Source organism: Homo sapiens, chromosome 9 (assembly GCF_000001405.40).
Source record: "Homo sapiens chromosome 9, GRCh38.p14 Primary Assembly".
In the NCBI taxonomy this organism is placed as follows: domain Eukaryota; kingdom Metazoa; phylum Chordata; class Mammalia; order Primates; family Hominidae; genus Homo; species Homo sapiens.
Window position 1 is genome coordinate 2,636,792 of NC_000009.12, and position 16,697 is coordinate 2,653,488.

General features: G+C 41.1%; 1 protein-coding gene and 1 long non-coding RNA gene across 7 annotated transcripts in view, besides 2 other annotated features; one reads left to right on the forward strand and one right to left on the reverse strand.

The window, feature by feature from the left end:
• VLDLR (very low density lipoprotein receptor) overlaps nt 1-16,697 on the forward strand; it is a 38,270-nt gene that overhangs the window by 15,005 nt on the left and 6,568 nt on the right. Inside the window, exons 3-18 of one of the 5 annotated variants that reach the window (NM_003383.5) lie at nt 3,068-3,190; nt 4,586-4,708; nt 6,369-6,740; nt 6,837-6,959; nt 7,046-7,168; nt 7,943-8,062; nt 8,166-8,291; nt 8,783-8,954; nt 9,543-9,761; nt 10,683-10,801; nt 11,417-11,556; nt 11,878-12,019; nt 13,579-13,725; nt 14,624-14,707; nt 15,083-15,163; nt 15,989-16,158. In NM_003383.5, the coding sequence (NP_003374.3) occupies nt 3,068-3,190; nt 4,586-4,708; nt 6,369-6,740; nt 6,837-6,959; nt 7,046-7,168; nt 7,943-8,062; nt 8,166-8,291; nt 8,783-8,954; nt 9,543-9,761; nt 10,683-10,801; nt 11,417-11,556; nt 11,878-12,019; nt 13,579-13,725; nt 14,624-14,707; nt 15,083-15,163; nt 15,989-16,158 (2,384 nt within the window). Of the gene's footprint in view, nt 1-3,067; nt 3,191-4,585; nt 4,709-6,368; nt 6,741-6,836; nt 6,960-7,045; nt 7,169-7,942; nt 8,063-8,165; nt 8,292-8,782; nt 8,955-9,542; nt 9,762-10,682; nt 10,802-11,416; nt 11,557-11,877; nt 12,020-13,578; nt 13,726-14,623; nt 14,708-15,082; nt 15,164-15,988; nt 16,159-16,697 lie in introns of those variants that run through there. The other 4 variants (NM_001018056.3, NM_001322225.2, NM_001322226.2 and 1 more) reach the window with 4 other exon arrangements.
• Nucleotides 8,923-8,972: a silencer, noted in NCBI's record as "silent region_19736". NCBI's record gives its function as "represses an Ori minimal core promoter by ATAC-STARR-seq in GM12878 lymphoblastoid cells {active_cell/tissue: GM12878}" and the evidence as "EXISTENCE:reporter gene assay evidence [ECO:0000049][PMID:35858748]".
• Nucleotides 8,983-9,042: a silencer, noted in NCBI's record as "silent region_19737". NCBI's record gives its function as "represses an Ori minimal core promoter by ATAC-STARR-seq in GM12878 lymphoblastoid cells {active_cell/tissue: GM12878}" and the evidence as "EXISTENCE:reporter gene assay evidence [ECO:0000049][PMID:35858748]".
• Nucleotides 12,393-16,697, reverse strand: part of LOC105375957 (uncharacterized) — a 45,278-nt gene continuing 40,973 nt past the window's right edge. For both annotated transcript variants that reach the window (XR_929436.3, XR_929435.3), the window contains exon 3: nt 12,393-16,219. This is a non-coding gene — a long non-coding RNA (uncharacterized LOC105375957). The remainder of the gene's footprint in view (nt 16,220-16,697) is intronic.

A 16,697-nucleotide genomic window follows, 5' to 3' on the forward strand; every position in this document is an offset into this window, starting at 1 on the left:
TTAGAGAGTCCTCACTCTTGTCAACTATTTTCCTGTTGTAAGTTGCAATTTTTTTTCCTCTCTTCTAAACGATATATTTGGCAAAACCCATTGCTTGTTCTTAAAAAGTAATTATTCTCTTTGTGTTGCACAAGTCTTTTTTTACCATGTGACTCAGTAGGAACTAACCTGGGTCAACTTGGGATTTTTCTAAAATAGTCTTGTATAAGTACTCTCTACTAGCCACATGGTAGGAGAGTTTGGCAAAGAAAAAGAGGTAGATGTATATCTAATCAAGATCATTTGAGGCAGGAAAAATTATATCCTTAGCCAAAATTTGTCTCTACTTCCTGTGTGTGACAGTAGAGAAAGAAAGTAGAAATATTACAATCAGGGAAGGTCTGAGTGCTTACTTTGTTTCTCTATGGAAGAGGAAAGCTATAGAATTACTTAAAACTTCCAAAGCTGCCTCCTATTTTTAGTCTAACCTCTTAATATGGAACTTGGTTACAATATTTAGCTTAGTTCTTTATTTCCAGTATGTCAATGGGCATAGTCAACTTAACCTTAGATTCTATTAGCCATGTGCTTCTGTTGGTCCCATTAACTCATTCTTTTATAATGTTAGGCTGAGCTAATTAATCAGCAACCTAAGTACTCTAAATATGTAACTGCTAATTCTCTTCCTCTGTAGCACATCTAAATTCCTATTTGTCTCTCAAGGCCCAGTTCACATATCCTTTCTTTACCCTCCCAGTCTATGCTCCAAATGAAGAGAGAGAACCATACGGCAATTTGTCTGTCTCTGTTTATCTTTTGCTCAAACACTGTGGTATACAGCCAATCTTTCACATCCTCCTTACGTTTTCTAAGACTTAAAATCATGGAGGGCCGGGTGCGGTGGCTCACGCCTATAATCCCAGCACTTTGGGCGGCCTAGGCAGGCGAATCACGAGGTCAGGAGATCGAGACCACCCTGGCTAACACAGTGAAACCCCGTCTCCACTAAAAATACAAAAAAATTTAGCCGGACATGGTGGCAGGTGCCTGTAGTCCCAGCTACTCGGGAGGCTGAGGCAGGAGAATGGCGTGAACCCGGGAGGCGGAGCTTGCAGTGAGCCAAGACCACGCCACTGCACTCCAGCCTGGGTGACAGAGCGAGACTCCATCTCAAAAAAATAAATAAAAATAAATAAAAAATCAATCAATCAATCAATCATGGGGTCTCTTTACAGCCATTCCGCTACTCCCTCTTTTGTAGCTTCCAAAGAATATCACAGGTTGAATTATAGCAACTAACCCTGCAGACCCTCTGACTTCTTCCTCCATGCTCAGGAGAACACAGACCTTGAATAGCACTTAATTCATTAACATTAGTGTTTGAGTTTTTCAGTGATTTTAGAAACAGGCATGAATCTAAAGCTAGCATGGCCAGTCTTGTTTCCTTGGCTGTGTAATTCAAGGAGATAATCCTTTATAGATCATCATAATTTGTCAACCCATCTTGAGTTCTAGAAATTAACTGTAATCACTGTCTCTCTCCTTTACAATATCTTACTCTCAACCAGAGTGGTCCAAGGGCACACTCTAAGCTCTGAGAGTTCTACCTGCTTTAAACCAGTGATTTGAGAAACAGTCCCTTTCAAATGTTCATCAAATTGTGAATTTTTCACTTATTTACCTTCACAGAATATATGTTATAGAGGAATGTTTTAAAATAGAAATTGGGTAGAAGGTATAAGCATATAGGCAAGAAAGAATATAATCTAAGAAAGATAAGCTTAGGGTATCCTGTGTGGCTACTTTATATCAAGATTCATCCTGCTCCGTGATTCCTTCATGGGTAGGATAATCAAGCTGCCCGATTTGCTTAGGACAGTCCTGGTTTATGCTTATCTTCCAGATATAATTAAAAGTGTCCCCTTTCTGCTGAGACTGTCCCAGTTTGGACAAAAAATTGCATGGTAACCCTAAGTATAGGGGAAAGACCTGCCCCAGGAAGAATTAGCAACAGAATCAATTCCTCTCCTTAGGCTATTTTAACATTAGCAGGCAGTTATGGATATTAGCACTGACAGCTTCAATGACTTTTAGCTGGTTGATGTTAGCCTACCCCTTGGCTAGAAAGGCTAAAATCTTCTCTCCCTTGAATTCTAAGTACAACATCTCTTGTTACACTGATTGAGTTTTCTCCCCTTTCTACCTGATGAGTTTCTTTGCCCCTGTAGACCAGTATGGGTGACAATATTCAGTACTGGGGTTTGGCCTTCATTCTCCACACTAAACACATGTGTTGTTAGGGGATGCCCCTTGAACAGTATATTAGTCAGCTCAGACTGCTGTCACAAAAATACCATAAGTGGGTGGCTGAAACAACAGAAATTTATTTCTCATAGTTGTGGAGGCTGAGAAGAGACCTGCCAGTAGATCTGATATCAGGTGAGGGCTGTCTTTCTGGTTTGCAGATGACCATCTTCTCACTGTGTCCTTACATAGTAGATAACAAAGAGAGAGAGAGTAAGCGCTCTGGTTTCTTTTTATGAGGGTGCTAATCCCATTCATGGGGGCTCCACCCTCATGACTTAATTACCTCCCAGAGGCCCTACCTCCTAATAACATCATGTTAGGGGTTAGGATTTCCACACGTGAATTCTGGGTGGAGACAAACATTCAGTCCCCAGCAAGCAGTTCTACTATGATCCAGTCAGAAGATGGAATGTTTAGCTGTTAAATGAAGTACTTGAATGACTTGGAAGAAATGCATGTAGAAAATGAAAGTGTTACTTAATCTCAACATTATAAAACAGGCAGGAAGTTAAATGTAAGGTATCTCCGAGTTGTAAGATAATGGGCAACCTCTGTCTGACCTTGACTTCAGTTTCCTCCAAGTCTCTCAAATGAGCATCTTCCTCCTCTGAAAAAAAATAATAATTTTTCTGAAGTTTCCCCTGGATATTGGCAGTTGAGTGCCCATTGACTCAGCTTTTTTTTAGAGCAAAACATGCCAAAATGCAGTATGAGCCCTCATGTGAAGCTAGGGCTGTGGGTAAATGACTTCAACTTTAACCCTTCAAATAAACGTTTGTAGTAAAGAAGACGTGTGCTGAATCTGACTTCGTGTGCAACAATGGCCAGTGTGTTCCCAGCCGATGGAAGTGTGATGGAGATCCTGACTGCGAAGATGGTTCAGATGAAAGCCCAGAACAGTGCCGTGAGTGTAACTTGCTTTGGCCTTGAACTTTGCCAAGTTGTTCGGTGTCTAACATTTCTAAGTATTGCTTAATCTCCTACTTGGTATTCATTTTTCTTTGCCTGCCTTAAAGTTTAGGTCAATTGACTCCAAGGGCAGTCAAATCATTACCAGTTTATCAGCCTCCTTTAAAGAATGTTCTCCCTGGTCCAACAAGACTGACATTCTCTTGGGTAGCTTCACTATTGAATACTTAAAACTGAAGTCAGCAGATTCAATCAAGAACTCCTTGACTAGGTGCATAGATTTCAAATGTCTGTTTATAATAACTGAGCAGATGGTACTCTGGTCCTGGAAGCTAAGTCAAGAAGTGAGGGTTCCCTATGGGCCAAGCAAAAGCTTTTAGAAGCACAGCTTATCATACTATTAAAAAGCTATTACTGAAGAGGTAAGGTAGCTAGTAATTGGGTGATATAGTGACTCCTGACACACATGTAACCTCAAGTTACTAAAATGGAGATCTTACAGCATATTCTTAAATAAGAGAAACTTCATAGGTATGCAAGTATATACCTGTGTCCTTAGGAAAAAGTCTATGAGACCATAAAGAATGATGGTTTGGGATCATATAAATTGAGATCACACGAATGTCAAGGCAAAGAAAGTCTTAGAGTTTGAGTCAGTAGAGGCCTGCACTGGTAGAAACACTAAAAAAGGACTAACATGAACACAGTTTAGGTCTAAAGTGTGATTATGAAAGAAAATCAAATAGAAAGGAAGATAAGGCTGTTACTTTCAATTTTCTAGATAAGAAGTGAGGGGAGTAATATTGGTCAAGGCAAGTGAGTTCAAGGCCTGTGAGCTAAAGACAGGTTGTGTAAAGATTCAGCCTCAACTTTTAGTGGAGAATGACCTGGTCAAGTCAAGCATTAGGGCATGCTTCTACTTTGCAAGATGTCAATCTAAAGGACATTGTGAAGGAGGCCCATAAAGGAATCTAGGCAATAGAAGATTTTGTAGGTGTTTGACCATCTGACTTTTCATGTATTTGAGATTAGATGACAATATCTAGGTGTGCCCACTTGACATCCAACAGATAAATAGTGGTCTAGGAGCAGGCCAGCCAATAAACTTCACCACGCCAAGTAAAACAAAAGCCAGAACTGAGCACGCCATGGGACCTTGAAGGAGTGACGTGGTCAAAGCTGTCACGTACACTGCCAGGTAGCATAGGTTGGCACAGCTTCTAAGGAGTGGAGCTGATGAAAGAGCTCCCCGGGCTTCAGCCAGTTAGTAGAATTTCACCAGTGTGCCAGGCTACTGAGTCACAGGTATTAGCGCTTCCAGGCAGCACAGGAGCAGCAGCTTTGCATTGATCAGTTCTGAGGCTCTTTTGAGACTGTATATCATCAACAGATATGAGAACATGCCGCATACATGAAATCAGCTGTGGCGCCCATTCTACTCAGTGTATCCCAGTGTCCTGGAGATGTGATGGTGAAAATGATTGTGACAGTGGAGAAGATGAAGAAAACTGTGGTAAGAAGATCAGTGTTGAGTGACGTAACCCAAAGACCCTTTTCCTAAAGGAAGGGTGGGCAGGGGAAACTAATCTAAGCCTGAAGACGCACTGACATTGACTCACTTTTCAGTGACTTCACTATCTGCTCAATTACTTGTCCTTCATAACTGCCCTAAAACCCTAAAAGACATTCATGTGGCAATTGACCATCGCTTGGTGTTTCTTTTAGGCAAATAGAAATAAGAAGGTAAGTCATTCAAGGCACTTATATATAGAAGTAGCTCAGGGAAGCAGCAATTGTGTGGGCTTTTGTTTTGACAGTAATTCATGTGTCTTTTGCACTTTGGCACAATAAAATTAGAAGGTGAGTAGGGTTGGCAAACACATTCATAGGTCTAAATTTGATTGGGTTATTGGAATAAATTATTTGAGTATTATACAAGCATTTCTTTGCCCATGAACTAGATTCTGGCATAACTTTCCCAGAAAAAAAAAAAAAAAAGACACAGAAGCATGAATTAACATCTTGCCTCAGATACCCAAAGAAAAGTCTACCCAACTGGTGATACCTTTGTCTCCTGTTGCAGTTCCTGTCTCTGAAAGCTAACTCTGCTTCCTATTCTTTCATGTTTCTGGTCTTGGAAAATCTTTAATAAAATGCTGCATGTTGAAGGTGAGGGCCTGGGAAAATCACTAGGTTGAACAAACAGTGCTTTGAATGTTCTTTCAAGCTACTGCCCTTTTTATAGGGCCTCTAAAACCTACAGCTCCCAAGTCTGACAAGCATGGGCCTCCTGATATGGTAGTAGTCAAGGGAGCTCAGGGCACTTACAGTTGAAACACCAGTCTTGTGTGTAGAAGTCGCCTCCTGAGGTCAATACCACTGCACCTAGTCCAATGAGTTTTAGTGTTCAATCCTAGAATTGGGTTTTCTGTATTGGTAAGCCCTGGTGCTGCCAAGTGTTTCCCTTATAAATCTAGACTTTGCTTCCCAAGAGAGTCGTGGTCTCTATTCTAATTGCCACCAAATTGTGACCTTGAAACATTTGGCAGGAATTTAAGTCAAAGTACCAATTGGCTAGTAGGACTAGCTTATCATTGTCAGCATACCTGATTGTTAAATGGTGATTATAGCCCTGGCAGTGACTTTTTCAAAATGGAAAGTGTTTAAGACTTGTTATTCCTGATCCTTATTTAAAGGACCAAAAAGAGGAACCATATATGGTGGTATGTGGTTCACCTCTTTTGGTGACAAAGTCTTAATGCTTGTTGTGAGTATTACGTTGCATGATATTCTCAACTAGTGATAAGATCTGACAAGCAGTATGTTGATTCAAGGACAACTCAATCTCTGCCTTCCAAATTGAAATCCCTTGTTACAGTTTGTTATTTATGATGGCCACTTTTAGAATCAATTGTGGTTCTCATCTCAAATTAATTTCCAGTCTTCAACTATTTTCTTGGTTCTTTATTTCTGTTCTTCTTATTTATTGTGTGCCTTCATTTTTTGTACAATGAGACTGTACAAAAGTTCTTGATTTAACTCCATTGTAGCCTTTAAGTTGGGCTAGTAAGTTAGGATTAATGAATAAAGATCAATGTATTAGATTTTGGGACAAGAATCTTGAACGGACCAATCTTGATGCATTTTCAGTGGGGCATCCTCTCTCTTAATAGGCAATATAACATGTAGTCCCGACGAGTTCACCTGCTCCAGTGGCCGCTGCATCTCCAGGAACTTTGTATGCAATGGCCAGGATGACTGCAGCGATGGCAGTGATGAGCTGGACTGTGCCCCGCCAACCTGTGGCGCCCATGAGTTCCAGTGCAGCACCTCCTCCTGCATCCCCATCAGCTGGGTATGCGACGATGATGCAGACTGCTCCGACCAATCTGATGAGTCCCTGGAGCAGTGTGGCCGTCAGCCAGTCATACACACCAAGTGTCCAGCCAGCGAAATCCAGTGCGGCTCTGGCGAGTGCATCCATAAGAAGTGGCGATGTGATGGGGACCCTGACTGCAAGGATGGCAGTGATGAGGTCAACTGTCGTAAGTAGCTTTCTAGCATGGCATGTTCAGTTCTCTTCCCTGTATCAACTGGGACAATTTGCTGGCTTCATTCCATGGTGTTTCCTCCCTTTGTAGCCTCTCGAACTTGCCGACCTGACCAATTTGAATGTGAGGATGGCAGCTGCATCCATGGCAGCAGGCAGTGTAATGGTATCCGAGACTGTGTCGATGGTTCCGATGAAGTCAACTGCAAAAATGGTAAGGGTTTCTTCTTGTTGGTTAAGCAATGGATTGCTCTGACCAGACCCACTCATGGAATCTCTCTTCTTTGTTTCTCTTTGTAGTCAATCAGTGCTTGGGCCCTGGAAAATTCAAGTGCAGAAGTGGAGAATGCATAGATATCAGCAAAGTATGTAACCAGGAGCAGGACTGCAGGGACTGGAGTGATGAGCCCCTGAAAGAGTGTCGTAAGTGTACTTGTTGTTCAAGTACAGATCCTGGAAGTTTGACACAATCCAGTATAGCTAACACTGTGTGGACCCCCCGTGATGGCTAGTTAAACTTTTGAATGTACTGAAGTTCAATTGTAGACTTCAGAGTGAAACTTTATGACTTAAAAGCCCAGGTAGGACAAACTAGTTTATAGTTTTTGTTTTTGTTGTTTTTTTTTTTTTTTTTTTTTTGAGATGGAGTTCCACTCTTGTTGCCCAGGCTGGAGTGCAATGATGCAATCTCGGCTCACTGCAACCTCTGCCTCCCGGGTTCAAGCAGTTCTTCTGCCTCAGCCTCCTGAGTAGCTGGGACTATAGGCGCCCACCACCACGCCCGGCTAATTTTTTTTTTTTTTTTTGTATTTTTAGTAGAGACAGGGTTTCACCATGTTGGCCAGGCTGGTCTCGAACTCCTGACCTCGTGATCCACCCGCCTCGGCCTTCCAAAGTGCTGGGATTACAGGCATGAGCCACCGCGCCCGGCCCAAACTAGTTTATAGTTTAACCTCCTTAAAGATAACTGATCATCAATAGAGAAACTTGACTAAATGCTTGACCAGCTGGTAACTTGCCGAGGAGTTAGATAATCCACCCTGAAATATATACCTATAAAATAAATGATTAGGTCTTAGACAAATCGTGGGTTTGACCAGGCCAACTAGATAAGTTATCACAAATAGCCTGGGTTTTAAATGTGAAAGATATTAATTGAAAATAAGTTGTCAAGTGACTACTACATTTTTATTCCAGATATAAACGAATGCTTGGTAAATAATGGTGGATGTTCTCATATCTGCAAAGACCTAGTTATAGGCTACGAGTGTGACTGTGCAGCTGGGTTTGAACTGATAGATAGGAAAACCTGTGGAGGTGAGTCTAAGAAGAAAACCTGGACCCTGCAGGTGATGGGAAAGGATAGTATGTACCTAGTAAGGTATAGGAGCAGCAAGACTAATTCTGATTTCCCTCCCAGATATTGATGAATGCCAAAATCCAGGAATCTGCAGTCAAATTTGTATCAACTTAAAAGGCGGTTACAAGTGTGAATGTAGTCGTGGCTATCAAATGGATCTTGCTACTGGCGTGTGCAAGGCAGTAGGTAAATGAACTTGGACTGGTATGGCTGTTGTACCTTTATGAGTAAGTGCCTCTAAAAGGTACAGCCAGTGACTACAATAGTCAAACTAAACATGAAATTGTACTTGAGAACAATGCTGCTAACCTCATAATACAGCAGTATAGGTCAAATAGCAGATCTCTCCCCTAGATATGTACCTTGATCATTCCTTTTGCATATGATACCATGAATACCTACCAGGTTTGCATGCTCTGTTTCCAAAACTTGAGTCCAACTCAAACAAGTGACTTATTCATCACTCACCCTGTTCTTGAAGGCTGTAACCCCACGACTGCCTTCCTAAACTGTAGGAAGCACTTGCAGGTCCCAGGGGCAGGAACTCCAGAACAGATACTACTGAGGTATTCCACAATACCTTTATTTTCTAAGTGCTCCTCTGCTGGGAGGAGGTGGTTTAGAAAGACCTTGCCTTCTTAAAGCAAAACTAAGTAACCCAGACTTCCATCTTGCAGGCAAAGAGCCAAGTCTGATCTTCACTAATCGAAGAGACATCAGGAAGATTGGCTTAGAGAGGAAAGAATATATCCAACTAGTTGAACAGCTAAGAAACACTGTGGCTCTCGATGCTGACATTGCTGCCCAGAAACTATTCTGGGCCGATCTAAGCCAAAAGGCTATCTTCAGGTAACTTTCAGTTCCTTTTGTGGTGTCTTGACATAAGTCATTGTCACTTGGGAAGTGATCTGTGGGATAGTTTGGAGGAGTTTCTTTTGTGTCTAGCCCCATCTAGCATCGAATTACCTGGGGACATTAAATCTAATGCTAATTCTTTATTAAACTGTTATCACTTCCTAATTAGAAACTAACAATTGTCTATGAAGTAAAAGATGACATCTTTCATATTTTTTATATTTTCTCCCTTTTCTCTACAGTTAATTGAGAACTGTTCATTGTTGCTACAAATAGAAATGGTAGTACAGCCTTTTCTTAATGGGAACTATAGAAACTCAGATGATGGATACTGAAACAAATAGCTTCACTTAGAAATTTGTTGTTCTTGTATATAGAATACATACCAGCAACTAGATAATCTACAGCATTATTAATTTAGGATCAGTAAGCAGCATGGTTAAATAATTTGAGTGGTGAGCTGTGGTGTTAACTGGATTTCTTTCTGAACAAAGTCATTGACCATTTTGTAAGCAAAAAGTCCATTCTCCAAGCTCTAATTGTGTCAAACTCTTAAATTTCTTGTGACCTATTCTGTTTCAGTGCCTCAATTGATGACAAGGTTGGTAGACATGTTAAAATGATCGACAATGTCTATAATCCTGCAGCCATTGCTGTTGATTGGGTGTACAAGACCATCTACTGGACTGATGCGGCTTCTAAGACTATTTCAGTAGCTACCCTAGATGGAACCAAGAGGAAGTTCCTGTTTAACTCTGACTTGCGAGAGCCTGCCTCCATAGCTGTGGACCCACTGTCTGGGTTTGTAGTCTGTTTTCCATCACAGACTTTGGAATGGTATCTGTGTAGGTCAGGAGCTTTCTCATACCTGAATTAGTACTCAAATCTCAAGGTTTATGAGCCTTCTGCAACAAAGAATTAGAATTCTAATTTAAGATATCAGTTTTGCCCCAGGTGAGTGACCCTGGGATGTCCTTATCTATATGACAGGTCCTCCTGTCTGACTCTCGTATGACTGATTGCTGGCTGACATTAATGAATTAACATTCCTGATTTGATGTGTGTACCAAAAGCTGTATCTGAACCCTTTTGTCCACCCAGTTTCTACGCAAGTGATTTTTTAATTTTTGACTGAAAGCTTTGCTGGGCTAGCTCTGGATGATCAAACCTAAACGACAGCCTGAATTGTGAGGATTTGGGTAACCACATTGCATCTAAGTGTGCAAGTTGTCTGAAAGTCCAGCAGAAATAAACAGACCTTTCTAGAAACATTTCACTAAGGGGGTTCTGTAAATTGCCACTAAGTAACATAGAAGAGCAGCTCAGGAAGTTGACTAAGGCTGTAGTTGTCATCACAACTGGCCCCCGTGCAGCCTCATTAGAACTCAGTCAGCCAGCCAACCCCTGCTATGAAATTTGAAGGATGTTCGTCTTGCACTCCTCTGTAAGAACTGACCTTTTAAAAAGGAAACATAACCTTGTGACTTTGGGCCGAAATTTAAATGTCAGACAAACATAGATTATTATAGTTAATAATGAGCTTGTAGATTCTTAATATTCAATTTTATTTACCTAGAACATAATTTAGACCCTTAAGTGTTACTATTTGTCACTAGAGAATGCCTTGAGTTTTCTGCTCAAATTTTAAATTTTTGTTTCCAGCTACTACAACTTTATTCCTTCTAAACCACTGAGGCTTATTTCTCATTTAATTTTTCACAGCTTTGTTTACTGGTCAGACTGGGGTGAACCAGCTAAAATAGAAAAAGCAGGAATGAATGGATTCGATAGACGTCCACTGGTGACAGCGGATATCCAGTGGCCTAACGGAATTACACTTGGTATGTATGTTCTTCCTTCTCGACCACCCACTCAACTATCTTCATAGTGTTTCCATTTATCTCCATGGTGAATTCTGGACTAGCAGATGACTCTACTGCTTCCGCCTAAATTCTAGCAGGAATTTTCAATGGGAGTAACTGAACAACACAAGTAAAATGGTGGATTAACAAATTACACATTCCATAATTACTGGCCTGTTGTCCAGCTGGGCCTAATATGTGACACAAATTCAGTGAACGTTGGGTCTTGGGTGCACTCATACTAAATATTCTGGGCATGAGTGCCTTAGCATTTCCTGAATTGCAGGCTTTTAACAGTTTTCTTCTGGCTTTTTGGAGGAGAACAACAAAATGGTAGCCTCTTTTAATATTTTCTGTAATGTGAGTAATATTTCTTAAGTCATTTGCTTTGAGAATCTCAGGTACCCTGTTAGTCCCCAAAAATGAACGTGGATACAGGCTCTGCATGCTGCTTCGCAAGGTTTATGGTGACCCCGTTAAGAAACCCTGCTGGGGAAAGAACCGTGAAAGTAGATTATTAATTCATTAGATATTTTTAATGGAAGCCAGAGTAGTAGTGGCTTGTCATGTAATGACAATTCTTTTCCTACCTAGACCTTATAAAAAGTCGCCTCTATTGGCTTGATTCTAAGTTGCACATGTTATCCAGCGTGGACTTGAATGGCCAAGATCGTAGGATAGTACTAAAGTCTCTGGAGTTCCTAGCTCATCCTCTTGCACTAACAATATTTGAGGTAAGATGTGTCTCACATCAAAGTGTGTACCTTTGAGCTACTATATCACTTTGAGAAGAAATAACAGACATAGCGGGAGGAGGGAAGAGCAGCTGAACATGGCTTGAGAAACTGCTTTCACTTAAAACCTGGTACAAATCAGACACTAAGTCCCAGAAGCACTCCACACCTAAACTTGATTCTTTTACAGTTTTATATCCAGTGTCCCAGTTCAGCATTCAGTAAACTTAGTCCATTAAATGAGAAGTAAATGATGATGACCTTAGAAATGGACTTGTGTTAATCCTGGATGTACATGCTAATTGTGGGCTTCTGTTTTAGGATCGTGTCTACTGGATAGATGGGGAAAATGAAGCAGTCTATGGTGCCAATAAATTCACTGGATCAGAGCTAGCCACTCTAGTCAACAACCTGAATGATGCCCAAGACATCATTGTCTATCATGAACTTGTACAGCCATCAGGTACCGTGGAGAAGCACAGTCCTTAATAACTACTTTAAGGGAAGCAGCATGACACAGAACCTGCTGGATGTCAGTAGCTCTTGGCAACTCAGTTTTCTTTAAAAGGGAACTTTTGCCCTCCTGTACCCTACCTTAAACATTTCACATGTTATTTTTTTATTTCTGCTGCCTCAGAGAAATGGCTTCTCAACTTCAGCTCCTGGCTTTCCTCCCAAGCCTCAGTGTCAGAGCTTTTATTTCTGTTTCATTCATGTCCCCTTGGCCTTCAGCCCCTCTTGCCAAGACTATTGCAGTAGCCTCCAAAGTAGCTTTTGTGCTACAAGCTTTCTCTACTGTTAGTTTGCTAGGATTTTTGCAATGAAGTACCACAGACTATCTTAAACAACAGAAATTTATTGTCTCAAAACTCTGGAGGCCAGAAGTTTGAAATCAAGGTGCCAGGAGGGTTGGTGCCTCTTGAGGGCTGTGAGGGAAGGGTCTGTTCCAGGCCTCTTCTTGGTCTGTTGATGGTGCTCTTCCCCCTTTGTCTCTTCACATCATCGTCCCTCTGTATATGCTCGTGTCCAGCTTTCTTGCTTTCTTTCTTTTTCTGTTTTTTGGAGACTGACTCTTGCTCTGTCACCCAGGCTGGAGTGCAGTGGCACAATCTCGGCTCACTGCAACCTCCGCCTCCTGTGTTCAAGCAATTCTCCTGCCTCAGCCTCCCGAGTAGCTGGGACTACAGGAGTGAGCCACCACGTCCAGCTAAACTTTGTATCTTTAGTAGAGATGGGGTTTCACCATGTTGGCCAGACTGGTCTCGAACTCCTGACCCAAAGTAATCTGCCTGCCTCGGCCTCCTAAAGTGCCGGAATTACAGGCGTGAGCTGTAATAACAGTCATATTGGATTAGAGCCCACCTTAATGACCTCATTTTAACTTGATTACCTCTGTAAATATCCTATCCTCAATATCTCCAAATAAGATCACATTCTGAGGTACTAGGACTTCATTATATGAATTTTAGGGAGGAACACCATTCAACTCATAACACCTACTTTCCCCCTGTGACACACCTGATATAGGATTGTGTAGATTCTCAAACACATCGGGTTATATTATCTCCTGCTGAAAACACTTGGCTGGTTCTATCTAAATAAAGCCTTCAAACCTTCCTAAGGCTGAGTTTCCTTCCACTTTGTTGGAGCAAGTCAAGAGAAAACCAGGAGAACATGCCTAGTCTCCTTTCTCTGAGCCTTCACGCTAAACCTCGGGCAAATAGTGAGAGCCAGTCCTGGTCCCTCACCTCCCTTCCCCACCTCCTCTTTTGGCATCTGTCTCTTAAAGGCATAACTTTTACAGTCTATCTCGAAGAGGTCCCTTATCTGGTGTCCTTAGAGCATGCTGCCTGTACCTGTATACTTATTCTTCCTTGATACTGTTCTCACTTGAAGGATTAGCAGAGTAGACAAGTTTAAGCTCTTGGGGGCAAGGACTCAGGTCTTCAACATGTAGAACAAGGCTTTATATATACTAGGCACCGGAATACCCATTTTAATGGTATTTTTTTTCCTGACTAGGTAAAAATTGGTGTGAAGAAGACATGGAGAATGGAGGATGTGAATACCTATGCCTGCCAGCACCACAGATTAATGATCACTCTCCAAAATATACCTGTTCCTGTCCCAGTGGGTACAATGTAGAGGAAAATGGCCGAGACTGTCAAAGTAAGGCATTTTGTGTTTCAACCACAAGTAGAACCTACAACAAGCAATATAATAAGACACAAGCTTGGATTTTTAAGAATTCTGTCTTAGCTAATTCTTTGAATAGATTTGAGAAGATATCTGCTATTGTATGCCGGGTTATCATGTCATTTCTTTAGAACTGACTTTAACCCATTTCAACATTAAATGAGTTTATAGGAGACTAAAGTGTCAACATACCTTACACTAATTTGTACCTAGTCCCTTAACAGCACTGAGCTAGCCAACTTGCAGGTAATTAAATGAGGCCTTAACATTTTTCCTCAAAAGGAGGAGGACAGAAATTATGCTTAAGGAAGGCCATGGTTACAGAAACCTCATTGCCTCAGTGGGTGACGCTACCCTAAAATAACACTTAGGCTGAATTTGCATTTAGTCTTCTGTTCTTAACTTTTGATTAAGTGGCAAATTAAAGTCATTTGTGTGATCAAGGAGCTTGTATGGTGAGGCTGATGAGGTTTTTATTAGCGTAATTCATGGTCAGGCAGGGATTAGCTCAGTTTACCAAGAAATTAGTTGCAAGACAGTCTGGTATGCCTGGTATACCAGAGCATCTTGAGAACATTTCTCGTAGTTTCCAGGAACATGGGATGTTGTTTAGAGGGATAAAATGTGGTTGTCCATCATTTTGAATTGTCAAATTCCAAACACCGACTGTCCTTCCCAAAGTTTCATGTATCTCTTTTTTGCATGAAGATTGCTATTTCAATGTTGACACATCAGCTGTACAACTTAGTTCAGCAGTGGTTTGTCTATTTTACCTGGTTTTAAAATAACCTTTTACATGGCTTGTCTGGACAAAACAGCTAGCCATGCTGGAACCCTGGCATTAACCAGGTTCTTGGTTTTTATAATTCAGGTACTGCAACTACTGTGACTTACAGTGAGACAAAAGATACGAACACAACAGAAATTTCAGCAACTAGTGGACTAGTTCCTGGAGGTATTGAGTTCAGTACTGCAAACTGTTAATCTCAACTAACAGCCACACTCTTTGTATCTACAGCTTAAATAATTAATGCAGCCTTTAACTACTATTTCTGCCCCAATTGGTAACCTATATTTAAACACCAAAGACTTAAAACTTGCATATCTTTTCCTGACTGATCTTAAAGGTTTCTAGTAGAGAACTGTCAGTGAAATGGCTACTACAGCATGTGACTCAAATACTTCTAAGCCAGAGTTGTTCCTGGTGTTCAATTGTTGTAGATACTGAACATCAATATTGGATGCAAAGGTTTTGGCTCCTTACCTGATGGGTAAATTTCTAAGTCTGAATACAGATCCTTCTAAACTGATTCCTTTTATTCCTCTGTAGGGATCAATGTGACCACAGCAGTATCAGAGGTCAGTGTTCCCCCAAAAGGGACTTCTGCCGCATGGGCCATTCTTCCTCTCTGTAAGTAGATTTCCTACAAGTCTGGGTTCAAGAACTTCTTAGATACCAGATGAAGATTTTTTGTTCATCTGGAGCTACCCCTTTCATGGGCCTTTATGCTGTCTAGCATTTATGACACTGAATTACGTTCGCTTTCTCCCCCACATAATACACTAAATTAAGGCCCATATCTTTCTCTTCAGTTGTACCTTTGGCACAGTAACTGGCAATGATAAGTGTTCAACGGTTAATGCTTTCTACTTCCGCACTGTTAACCTGGCTTATCCCCTTTTATAATAAGTCTCTTTAACTAGTGTACTGTTCTGTTCCCCCTTTGAAATGTGTGTAATGCTTCATACAGAGGAGATGCACAAATGCTTAAATGCTAAGAGTTACAGGACTTGTTGAGGATAAATTAAAAGCAGTTAAGAATTTTCAAACCTATGGAAAAGGACCTCTAAACGAGACACGCAAATTCTAAGGACTTTGCTATAAAAACCTTTGTCCTAAATGAAGAGACCCAAGCTTAGCTAACACGCCAGGACCACCTGAATAGCTCTCCAGAACCTTCTGCAATTTTAATTTGGTGAGCCTAAGGTGGGACCGAGGACCCTGCCCTTGCCTGGATGGATGTGGCTAGTCCAGCTCCAGTGCACAGAGCTACCTCTGGGCTGAACTTGTTTCAAGCTCCTGGCCCATGTGTATTCCAACTTCTAGTTATCCTAGCTCCATAAAACATGGCATTTTTACTAATGTCAATTATTATGGATTCCTGAACGTTATTACCTTTCTTGTATGTTCCAATACTAGACTTAGCTCACTTAGCTACCCTCTGATTTTTTTCAGTGCTCTTAGTGATGGCAGCAGTAGGTGGCTACTTGATGTGGCGGAATTGGCAACACAAGAACATGAAAAGCATGAACTTTGACAATCCTGTGTACTTGAAAACCACTGAAGAGGACCTCTCCATAGACATTGGTAGACACAGTGCTTCTGTTGGACACACGTACCCAGCAGTAAGTCAGCTTTGTGTCTTTATACACCATGGCTTGAAGTGAGACTTTTCAGAAAGGAGACCTGGGTGAGAGAGAGAGAGCCATTAGGATGATGGAGTTACCAAACACTTCATCTGCTACCTGGCTATTAGACAGACAGTATAGCCTGTTAGAACATAAGTCACTCAGTTGATCAGCATCTAACCCTCACCAACTGACAAGTGGGTCAACTTAAAGTCACCACTATATTAAGATATTTTTGGTTATAGAAATGACATGTAAATACTAGCATGAACCAAGTAGCTCATTACTGAACTATTAAATCCATTGCCTACTGGATATTTGAAAGTAAATTAGCATATCATATATAGGGGAGTTGGCTTAAAGTCAGTGTATTGAGTAAGATTCACTTAGCCAAAATTATTATATGCTTTGCTTTAAAAAGGTATCCCACCGCCCTTAGTATAGCTAGCTTTTCTTCCAGCAATAGTCACTCACTTGTTCTTCAGATGAAACCCAAGTGGAGTATTTGGCCTTCACGTAGGAAACAGGCTGAACAA